This window comes from Homo sapiens, chromosome 8 (assembly GCF_000001405.40).
Source record: "Homo sapiens chromosome 8, GRCh38.p14 Primary Assembly".
NCBI classification, from domain to species: domain Eukaryota; kingdom Metazoa; phylum Chordata; class Mammalia; order Primates; family Hominidae; genus Homo; species Homo sapiens.
The window spans coordinates 62,866,122-62,878,809 of NC_000008.11; the positions used below are offsets into that span (position 1 = coordinate 62,866,122).

The 12,688-nt window shown below is 38.5% G+C and overlaps 1 protein-coding gene across 4 annotated transcripts in view; it reads left to right on the forward strand.

The window, feature by feature from the left end:
• The window catches only part of NKAIN3 (sodium/potassium transporting ATPase interacting 3), a 750,799-nt gene that overhangs the window by 617,268 nt on the left and 120,843 nt on the right, over positions 1-12,688 (forward strand). The gene's annotated exons all lie outside the window — the stretch shown is intronic.

Genomic DNA, 12,688 nt, shown 5'->3' on the forward strand with positions numbered 1-12,688 from the left:
ACTTTAAAAATGTAAAGGCTTAGTACCATGTCATAATGCCTCCTCTGGGCACTGTAACTTAAGCTCCACATAGATTAAATTGGAAAAGAGAAATGTGTTCATTGTGTCGAATGAAAAAATACATATATTTTCGAAAAAGCATGATCATGCTTGTCTAGAACACAAGGTATGGTATATACAATTTGCAGTGCAGTGGGCAGAATTCTCCTCACAGCTCAAAGGTAACAGTGATCATATTCATTCCGTAGGTAGCTTTATGTGTGGCTACAACAAATTTTAGCAGCTTTTTTATTGTCTTTCCATGAAATGAAGTTGAGAAAATGATTTTCCCTTTGCAAGTTGCACACAGTTTTGTTTATGCATTTCCTTAAAATTAATTGTAGAATCCAAGACACAAACCACAGGTGGCAATACAATTTTAGAATGTAACATATAGAGGTATATTTAGCCTGTTTTAGAAGTCAGTGGATTCAATGTCTTTTTACTTTAAATTTTACATTAATTAAGGTGCCTCATTTTTTACTTTGTCCATTAACATTTATCCATATGCCTTTGCAATAACTAGATTGTGAAAAGCTAACAAGTGTTGTAACAATAATCCATTGTTTGAGGTGTTTGCGGTTGTCTTAAAAATTAAAGTATTGGCCAGGCGCAGTGGCTCACGCCTCTAATCCCAGCACTTTGGGAGGCCGAGGCGGGTGGATCACGAGGTCAGGAGATCGAGACCATCCTGACTAACACAGTGAAACCCCGTCTCTACTAAAAATACAAAAAAAAAAAAAAATTGGCCGGGCTTGGTGGCGGGTGCCTGTAGACCCAGCTACTCTGGAGGCTGAGGCAGGAGAATGGCGTGAACGCTGGAGGCAGAGCTTGCAGTGAGCCGAGATTGCGCCACTGCACTCCAGACTGGGCGACAGAGCGAGACTCCGTCTTAAAAAAAAAAAAAAATTAAACTGTTTTGTTTTGCTTTGTTTCCAGAAAAAAAAAAAAAAAAGAAAAGGGTAAAGAGAGTAACCATAGGGTCTCTATTTTTCGTATTCAAGAAGCAGTCAGAACACCCGAATGATTAAAAACATGATCTTTAGAGTCATACGCATCTGGGTTAGAATTCTGACATTTCACTGCTACATCATGTCATATCAGGCAATTTCATTAGTCTTCTCATGTCTCAATTTCTTCTTTACGAATTGAAAAATGGTAGCAACTTCTTCATAAGACTGTTTTAAGGATTGAATGAGATCATGTATAAAGCCCTCAACATAGTGCCTAGCACAGTGTATAATCAGTACATGATATTCACTGTAATTATTATTTTTACTGATAAATGTACCAAGAATGAAACTAAAAAAAGACACACCAGAAAGTCCAGCAAAAGAAAATAGGAGATAGGAGGAGAGAACTGAGAATTGATTGACCAATGTCTGTCATAGCTCAAAAGACTTATGCAAGAGGAACCAAAAGCCTCCACTCATCCATGACTGCTCTCTTCTCAGCAAGGCTGTGACCACACAGTCAACTCAGAGGATGGGAATAGTGAGGTTCCACAATAAATTTCATACTAAAACGCACTGCCCAGTAGCAGAAACATTAGCTGATAATGATGAATCCAATAGCCTAGCGTTTAACCGATACATTTAAAGCAGCATATGACATATTTTTCATAACTACCCTTCACTGGCAGTCTAAAAACAAAGAATAAAAAGCTTCTCTTTGATCAAACCATGTTCCAAAATGAAATAGATCCCTTTGTTTTATGTGTATGAGTATATTTACACTGAAAATATATACATATATTCACAAATACACGCACAGAGCAATGTAGTACATGCAGCTGTGTAAGAATAAATGGCTTTAAAACATATCAGCAAATCAACAACTGAATCATTAAACTGACAGGAAACCTTGTTCAAGATTCCCATGTCATTTTGCAAAGAGTGTACTGGATCTGACTAGAATGCATTAAGAGACCAGGGTGTTTGGAGTTTGAAAAACATCTTTAAAGGAAAAGAAAGAGAAGTATGACTGTTAGAAAAGGAAGCAGATATTCTCACCAGAATAAGAAGTCAAATTATGAACACTTGAGCTTTACAACTGCTTTAAATAACCCTCTATGGTGAGGCATAAGAACTTTAATGAAAGCAAAAATCATTTCATCATACTGATGGTATAGAGTATTTCTTTTTCTTTTCATGGTTTCTTCTTTATTCTTAGTTCATTTCCTTTTTTTTTTTTCCTTGTGACCTGGTATTTGCTTCTATTATAAACTAAGACTATGCTAGCAAAAGAAAATGGACCAAGGAGGCATTTATCTGAATAATTCAGGCAGAAACAATTTATACTTGAAGTAGCAAGAAGTTTTAGACAAAGGAGAATTTTTGCTTGGATTAACCCTCGACCTGGTTCAGCTTCAGACTAAAATAATGATGATACCCGTGGTGCTGTAACTTTGATTCAGCCAGTGTACTGAATAGTCGGCCCTGTGCTTTGGGACCCTGTTGTGATAATGCCAGCATTTTCATGCATGTGAATGCTTACTTTTGAACACCGTTACTCAGTTCTTATATCCTGAAAAACTTAGTGAGGGAAAATTGCATGCATTCAACGTTTATAAACCCTGATAAGCTCAGTTTCTAAACACTGGCATGAGTGTTGACTGGAAGGGCTGTCATCGGAGGCCCTGCCTTATGAGAACATCATGCCTAGTATTTCCATAATCTGCCGATAGACTGCAAGTGATGGATCTACAGCAGGATGAAGACTTCTGAATTAGCATTCAGGCCTTTCTCACTGTTGCTCACAGCAGAGACAGGAGAGAAGGGGAAAAAAAAAAGGATTAGATCTTTTCTCCTTGCCCCTGTAGTTTTCTTCTGGCAGTAGACTCTGTTGATGGGAATGGGCCTGATAATCGCAACTACGCAGAATAGGAGAGTGGGGTATGCCTTTGTTGGCATGTCCTCTGAAATGACCTCGGCAAAGAATGCTGTGGAAAAGAAATGGTGATTCTAAAGAAAAGGCATTTGTAACTTTTTTTAATAAATTTTCCTTTAAGTTTTGGAATACATGTGCTCAACGTGCAGGTTTGTTATATAGGTATGCATGTGCCATGGTGGTTTGCTGCACCTATCAACCCGTCATCTAGGCTTTAAGCCCAGCATGCATTAGATATTTGTCCTAATGCTCTCCCTCCCCTTGCCGCCACCCGGCGCCCCCCGCCCCCTGACATGCGCAGGTGTGTGATGTTCCCCTCCCGGGGTCCATGTGTTCTCATTGTTCAACTCTCACTTATGAGTGAGAACATGCGGTGTTTGGTTTTCTGTTCCTGTGTTAGTTTGCTTTTAAAATATTTGAAAGATGAAATATTAGAAGAAAAGAAAATTGTTTTATGGAAATGTTTCTCCAATAGGCAAATTAGGTTAGAATGAAGATTAATGATATCTAACCAGAGAAATCAACTCAGTGGACTCCACCAAATCGGCTCTCAGTGCGGCTAAAACAAAGCAGGCAGAAAAAGGCAGAGAAGCAGCTTGCTGGGTCTACTTGCACCAGCAACCCCTTGCGGGGGGTAGGTGGGGCTCCCAGGCCTTTGGCCTCAGACTGAGGGCGGCACTGTCAGCCCCGTTTTTTTTCCTTTGTTTGTTTCTGTTTTTGTTTTTGTTTTTGTTTTGAGACAGAGTCTAGCTCTGTTGCCCAGGCTGGAGTGCAGTGGCGCGATCTCGGCTCACTGCAAGCTCCGCCTCCCGAGTTCACGCCATTCTCCTGCCTCAGCCCCCCCGAAGTGGCTGGGACTACAGGCACTCGCCACCACGCCCAGCTAATTTTTTTGTATTTTTAGTAGAGACGGGGTTTCGCCGTGTTAGCCAAGATGGTCTCGATCTCCTGACCTCGTGATCCACCCGCGTCGGCCTCCCAAAGTGCTTGGATTACAGGTGTGAGCCACCGCGCCCAGCCCCAGCCCCCTTTCTTTGAGGCTTTTGGATGTGGACTGAGCCACTCCAGGCTTCTCTTCTTCACCAGCTTGCAGACGACCTATTGTGTGACTTTGCCTTATAATCCTGTGAGCCAAGTCTCCCTAATAAACTCTATTTTGTATATATATATCTATATCTATATATAGATATCTATAGATATCTATATATATATCTATATATAGATATATATAAATATCTATAGATATATATACATCTATATATAGAGAGATATATAAACTCTATTTTGTATGTATATACACAAAATATATGCATATACTAAATATATACACTATATATGTACAATATACATTGTACATATATACAATATATGTACATATATACAATATATACATATTATATTGTATATTGTATATACATATATATTGTATATAATGTACAATAAGTACAATATATACAATATGTACGTATATATGTATATATGTACAATATGTACATATATATACTATATATACTATATATACACCATATATAGTACATATATATACAACATATACATATACAATATATATACAAAATAAACTCTATTTTATATATATATCTATATCTAGATATATATAGATATCTATATATCTATATCTCTCTATCTATATATCTATATATCTATATCTCTATATCTATATATCTATATATATCTAGATATCTAGATATATAGATATATATAGAGAGATATATATTGTATTGGGTCTGTCCCTCTGGAATGCCCTGGTTAATATAAGGACTTTTAAAGAAATAGATGTGCATTAGAGATGAGAAAGAATGGAAATCACTAAATGAAGCCGTCTTACTGTTTAGCTTTGGAAAAGTAGTTCGAGGGAAAAGTTTTAGATTTCTCTTCTTTAGCACAACAAAGATCATACTGGGAAAACCAGACTCAAAGACTGACTGTTTCAGTCTTATTGAGGTAACATTGACAAACAAAAATTGTATATATTCAAGGTTATAATGTGATGTTTTGATATATGTACACATTATGAAATGACTGACACACTCAAGCTATTAACACATCCAGGCTGGGTGCAGTGGCTCCGAACTGTAATCCCAGCACTTTGGGAGGCCAAAGTGGGTGGATCACCTGAGGTCAAGAGTTTGAGACCAGCCTGGCCAACATGGTGAAACCCCATCTCTACTAAAAATATAAAAAAATTAGCCAGACCTGGTGGTGTGCACCTGTAATCCCAGCTACTCAGGAGGCTGAGGCAGGAGAATTGCTCGAACTCAGAAGGCAGAGGTTGCAGTTGGCCGAGATCTTGCCACTGCACTCCAACCTGGGTGACAGAGCGAGACTCTGTCTCAAAAAAAAAAAAAAAACAAAAACAAACAAACAAACAATAAAAGCCATTCCCTCACATAGTTACCATTAGTGTGTGTGTGTGATGAGAACACTTAGTATCTACTTTCTTAGCAAATTTCAAATGAACAATATTATTAACTGTAGTTACCATGCTATACATTAGGTCTCCAGAACTTATTCATTTTATAACTGCAGAGGGGCTGCAAACAGCTGAAGTCAGGGCATGGGATGCCCTTCTGGGGGCCAAGCCCAAGGAAGAATGTGGCAGAAGAGGAATTCGGGCTTTGGGAAGGGAGCAGGGCATGGAACAGTTGAAGGTAGCAGAAGATGCCTATGGAATCCCTCCTTTAACTTTTCATATCTCCAGTAAAATTGCCATTTTCACCACTTGTGGAAAATGATGAGGAATCAGTGATCTGACCAATCTAGAATATCTCAGCTATGCTTTATTCAGGAGGCAAATTAATTTAGAAAGGAAATTAATAATACTTAACTTTCCAAAAAATATAAATGGAATCCACATAGGAATTTGAAACATAGTCATGCATTGCATAAGGACATTTTGGTTAATGACAAACCACATATACAATGGTGGTTCCATGATATTATACTGCTATATTTTACTTTTCTATGTTTAGATAAGTTTTGATACACAAATACTTACCATTGTGTTCCATCTGCCCACAGTATTCAGTACAGTAACTTGCTGCACATGCTTGTAGCCTAGAAGGAATAGCTTATACCATATAGCCTAGATGTATAGTTGGCAACACCATCTAGTTTTGTGTAAGTACACTTCATGTTGCCTACACAGCGAAAAGCACCTGATGATGCCATTGTCAGAAGGTATCCCTGTTGTTAAGCAATGCATGACTAGAGCATATTTGTATCTGCAAACTCAGGACAGAGAACTCTGTGGTGACATGTAGTGCAAGGAATTTGCTGAAGTCTTGGGGAGTACTTAGGACTAATATTCATTTTGAGCCAAGTATTCTAAACCTCTGAGAGATAAGGAGATCCCAGTAACATCTAGGGTATGTAAAGCTCATGCACAACAGCTGAGATCTCCTCACAGCAGCACAGCTGAAAGTGCAAATGCAGGAGCATCCAACTGGACTCTCACTGTTCATGTCCCCTCCTGCCCAAGCATTAGAATCTAGAACTCACTTCAGTTTTTGAGCATTGTGTTACCATTGTGTGATTTTGTTTTTTTAAATGAATAAGAAAGACACAACTCTGCCAAATGGCATTGTGAACAGAAGGGTTATTTCTCAGAGGGTAAGGAGTGAGTAAGTCCACATATGCCCTCAGTCAAGAGAGAGTGAAAAGAATTTTCAACTCAGAATTTCATATCCAGCCAAATTAAGCTTCATAAGCAAAGGAGAAATAAAATCCTTTACAGACAAGCAAATGCTGAGGGATTTCATTACCACCAGGCCTGCTCTTCAAGAGCTCCTGAAAGCACTAAATACGGAAAGGAAAAACTGGTACCAGCCACTGCAAAAACACACCAAAATATGAAGATCAATGACACTATGAAGAAAGTGCATCAACTCATGTACAAAATAACTAAATAGCATCATAATGACAGGATCAAATTCACACATAACAATACTAACCTTAAATGTAAAAGACACAGACTGGCAAATTGGATAAGGAGTTAAGACAAATCAGTGTATTGTATTCAAGAGACCCATCCTGTGTGCAGACACACATAGGCTCAAAATAAAGAGATGGAGGAAAATTTGCCAAGCAGATGGAAAGCAAAAAAGTGGCAGTTGCAATTGTAGTCTCTGACAAAACAGACTTTAAATCAACAAAGAACAAAAAAGACAAGGAAGGGCATTACATAATGGTAAAGGGAATAATTCAACAAGAAGAGCTAACTATTCTAAATATACATGCACCCAATAAAGAAGCATCCAGATTCACAAAACAAGTTCTTAGGGACCTACAAAGAGACTTAGACTCCCACACTATAATACTGGGAGATTTTAACACCCCACTGTCAGTATCAGACAGATCAAAGAGACAGAAAATTAACAAAGACATTCAGGACTTGAACTCAACTCTGGATCAAATGGATCTAGTAGACGTCTGCAGAATTCTCTACCCCAAAACAACAGAATATACATTCCTCTCAGTACCACATGGCACTTATTCTAAAATTGACCATATAATTGGAAGTAAAACATTCCTAAGCAAATGTAAAGAAACTGAAATCATAACAGTATCTCAGACCACAGTATAATCAAATTAGAACTCAGGAATAAGAAACTCACTCAAAACCACACAATTACATGGAAACTGAACAACCTGCTCCTGAATGACTCCTGTGTAAATAATGAAATTAAGGCAGAAATCAAGAAGTTCTTTGAAATGAACGAGAACAAAGAGGCAATATACCAGAATCTCTGGGTTATGGCTAAAGCAGTGTTAACAGGGAAATTTATAGCACTAAATGCCCACATCAGAAAGCTAGAAAAATCTCAAATTGACACCTAGACGTCACAATTAAAAGAGCTAGCAAGGCAAGAACAAACAAAACCAAAAGCTAGCAGACAACAATCAATAACTAAGATCAGAGAAGAATTGAAGGAGATAGAGACATGAAAAACCCTCCAAAAAATCAACGAATTCAGGAGCTGGTTTTTTGAAAAAAACTAACAAAATAGATAAACCACTAGCTAGACTAATAAAGAAGAGAGAGAAGAATCAAATAGACACAATAAAAAATGATAAAGAGATTTCACCACTGACCCCAAAGAAATAAAAACTACCATCAGATAATATTATAAACACCTCTACGCAAATAAACTAGACAATCTAGAAGAAATGATAAATTCCTGGATGCATACACACTACCAAGACTAAACCAAGAGGAAGTTGAATCCCTGAGTAGACCAATAACAAGCCCTGAAATTGAAGCAGTAATTAATAGCCTACCAACCAAAAAAACCCCAGGACCAGATGGATTCATAGCTGAATTCTACCAGAAATATAAAAAGGAGCTGAAACTACTCCAAACAATTGAAAAGGAGGGACTCCTCCCTAAATCATTTTATGAAGCCAGTATCATGCTGATACCAAAACAGGGAAGAGACGCAACAAAAAAAGAAAACTTCAGGCAAATATCCCTGATGAACATCAATGCAAAAATCCTCAATGAAATACTGGCAAACTGAATCCAGCAGCACATCAAAAAACTTATCCACCACCATCAAGTTGGCTTCATCCCTGGGATGCAAGGCTGGTTCAACATATGCAAATCAATAAATATAATCCATCACATAAACAGAACCAAAGACAAAAACCACATGATTATCTCAATAGATGCAGAAAAGGCCTTTGATAAAATTCAACATCACTTCATGGTAAAAACTCTCAATAAACTAGGTATTGATGGAATATATCTCAAAATAATAGGAGCTATTTATGACAGACCTACAGCCAATATCCTATTGAATGGGCAAAAGCTGGAAGCATTCCCTTTGAAAACCAGCACAACACAAGGATGCCCTCTCTCACCACTCCTATTCAACATAGTATTGGAAGTTCTGGCCAGGGCAATCAGGCAAGAGAAAGAAATAAAGCATATTCAAATAGGAAGGGAGGAAGTCAGGTTGTCTCTGTTTGCAGACAACATGATTTTATATTTAGAAAACCCCATCGTCGCAGCCCAAAAACTCAAACACTCCTTGAACTGATAAGCAACTTCAACAAAGTCTCAGGATACAAAACTAATGTGCAAAAATCACAACCATTCCTATACACCAACAATAGGCAAGCAGAGAGCCAAATCATGAGTGAACTCCCATTCACAATGGCTACAAAGAGAATAAAATACCTAGGAATACAGCTAACAAGGGAGGTGAAGGACCTCTTCAAGGAGAACTACAAACCACTGCTCAAGGAAATAAGAGAGGACACAAACAAATGAAAAAACATTCCATCCTTATGGATAGGAGGAATCAATATCGTGAAAATGGCCATACTACCAAAAGTAATCTATAGATTCAATGCCATTCCCATCAAACCACAATTGACATTCTTCACAGAATTAGAAAAAAAACTATTTTAAATTTCATATGGAATCAAACACCTCGTATAGTCAAGACAATCTTCAGCAAAAAGAACAAAGCTTGAGGCATCACGCTACCTGACTTCAAACTATACTACAAGGCTACAGAAACCAAAGCATCATAGTCCTGGTACCAAAACAGACATATAGGCCAACGGAGCAGAACAGAGACCTCAGAAATAACAACACAAATCTACAACCATCTGATCTTCGACAAACTTGACAAAAACAAGCAATGGGGAAAGGATCTCCTCCTATTCAGGAAATGGTGCTTGGAAAACAGGCTAGCCATATGTAGAAAACTGAATCTGGACCCATCCCTTACATCTTATACAAAAATTAACTCAAGATGGTCTAAAGACTTAGATGTAAAATTCAAAACCATAAAAACCCTAGAAGAAAGCCTAGGCAATACCATTCAGGACATAGGAATGGGAAAAGACTTCATGAAAAAACAGCAAAAGCAATTGCAACAAAAGCCAAAATTGACAAATGAGATCTAATTAAACTAAAGAGCTAATGTACAGCAAAAGAAACTAGCATTAGAGTGAACAGGCAACCTACAGATTGGGAGAAAATTTTTGCAATCTACCCATCTGACAAGGGTGTAATATCCAGAATTTACAAGGAATTTAAACATATTTACAAGAAACAAACAACCCCATCAAAAAGCGGGCAAAGGATATGAACAGACACTTCTCAAAAGAAGACATTTATGCAGCCAACAAACACATAAAAAAAGTTCAACATCACCGATCAGCAAATCAAAACCACAGTGAGTCACCATCTCACACCAGTCAGAATGGTGATTATCAAAAAGTCAGGAAACAATAGATACTGGTGAGGGTGTGGAGGAATAGGAATGCTTTTACCCTCTTGGTGTGAATGTAAATTAGTTCAACCATTGTAGAAGACAGTGTGGTGATTCCTCAATGATCTAGAATCAGAAATACCATTTGACCCAGCAATCCCATTACTGGGTATATACCCAAAGTAATATAAGTCATTCTACTATAAAGACACATGCACACATATGTTTATTGCAGCACTATTTACAATAGCAAAGACATGGAAACAAACAAAATGCCCATCGATGATAGACTGGATAAAGAAAATGTGGTAAATATACACCATAGAATGCTATGCAGCCATAAAAAGGAATGAGATCATGTCCTTTGCAGGGACATAGATGAAGCTGGAACCCATCAGCCTCAGCAAACTAACTCAGGAACAGAAAACCAAACACCCCATGTTCTCACTCATAAATGTGAGTTGAACATTGAGAACTCATGGACACAGAGAGGGTAACAATACACCAGGGCCTATTGAGGGGTGGGGGTGAGGCAAGGAACTTAGAGGATGGGTCAATAGGTGCAGCAAACCATCATGGCACACGTATACCTATGTAACAAAACTGCACGTTCTGCACATGTATCCCGTGTTTGTTTGTTTGGAAGAAATAAAGAAAAAATTTTCAATAAAAGTTTGGGGTTTTTAACTCTCAAAAAAAAAAAAGAAAAGGAGAGAGAGAGAGTGAAAGCCAAGCTACCCTGCCTTGAAGGGGTCAATTAGGAAGAACCAAACTGAAAGTAACCAGCAATCCTTTATTCATTGTTGTAGTGCAGGCCAGGATGAAGGTGCCAGCTCCCACAGTGTTGCACATGGCCAGGGTGGTCTCACGGCCAAAGGAGCTCTGAACCAAAGGCTCCTCCTATCTTATGGACCCAGAGAGGAAGAGGAAAGGACTAGTAGTGAAAAAAATACAAAATACCCATTCAAAGTTAAGAAAATTTTCTTCAAGTCTCCCCCAATAAGGTGTTCTCAGCAGATGCACCCAAAGCTAGGGGCAGCCCAATTAGGCGGCCTCGGAATGGAGGCACTTAAGGTAGAAATGCAAATACACGAGACAGGGTCAGCTGTAGAGTTGAGGGGAGTGGGGGTCAGGATCTGAGTCCTTGACTGCACTTCCCTTCAGGGATGGCAGAGCACTAGCTGATGTGGGGAGGGCAGCTTCCCCCATGAGCCTGCCAGATAATGACTTGGAAACCTCCTATGGTTTGACATGAAAGGTCACACATAGGATCTTGGCCTGGAGCCAGACACCTCATTTCCTGGTTGAAATTTGTAATGCTAAAATTTTAAGTTACGCAGTCCTACCCAAATCTGATATTTTTATTTTCACAACACAGTTTCCTTCATTTTCCTAATGGATAAATGGACGGCTTATTTTCATATGAATTGATAGTATCAACAAAGAGAAAGAAACAAAGAGATCAGGCCAGGCGCAGTGGCTCACACCTGTAATCCCAGCACTTTGGGAGGCTGAGGCGGGCAGATCACCTGAGGTTCGGAGTTCAAGACCAGCCTGACCAACATGAAGAAACCCTGTCTCTACTAAAAATGCAAAATTAGCCGGGCATGGTGGCACATGCCTGTAATCTCAGCTACTCAGGAGACTGATGCAGGAGAATCACTTGAACCCGAGAGGCAGAGGTTGTGGTGAGTGGAGATTATGCCATTGCACTCCAGCCTGGGCAACAAGAATGAAACTCCATCTCAAAAAAAAAAAAAAAAAGACACAAAGAGATCAAATACGGGACTTTGCATTTCAGCCAATAATAAAATATGTGCAATAATTTGCTTTGTTTCAATCTTCTCATTTTCTTCAGGTGTTTTAGAATACTAAGAGGAATTTTTAGTAAGGAAATATGTAGATTAGATGTTTGAAGAGAATATATTGATTTGACAATTCTAAATTTTTTTTCTGAAGAATCTGACCTTTTACAAAATCCCAATGAAGACCATACTCCACTGAATCAAATAATCCTTTTCTTATCAATTACTATGTCCCCTCAGAGAAGGCAAAACATAAGTATGTAATTTTGCTGCTATGACAGACAGAAGAGTCTTGCTGGAGGCCACTGGCAAACACATTAATCACTGAAGCACCTCAACTCCTCGGACCCTCAATAAATACCTCTACCCCCTAAGAGAGATTTACTGTTGTTGTGTTCTGTTGTTGTGTTTTTATTATTATTATTATTATTATACTTTAAGTTTTAGGGTACATGTGCAACGTGCAGGTTTGTTACATGTGTATACATGTGCCATGTTGGTGTGCTGCTCCCATTAACTCTTCATTTAACATTAGGTATATCTCCTAATGCTATCATTTTCCCCTCCCCCCACCCCACAACAGGCCCCAGTGTGTGATGTTCCCCTTCCTGTGTCCTGTGTTCTCATTGTTCAATTCCCACCTATGAGTGAGAACATGCGGTGTTTGGTTTTTTGTCCTTGTGATAGTTTGCTGAGAATGATGGTTTCCAG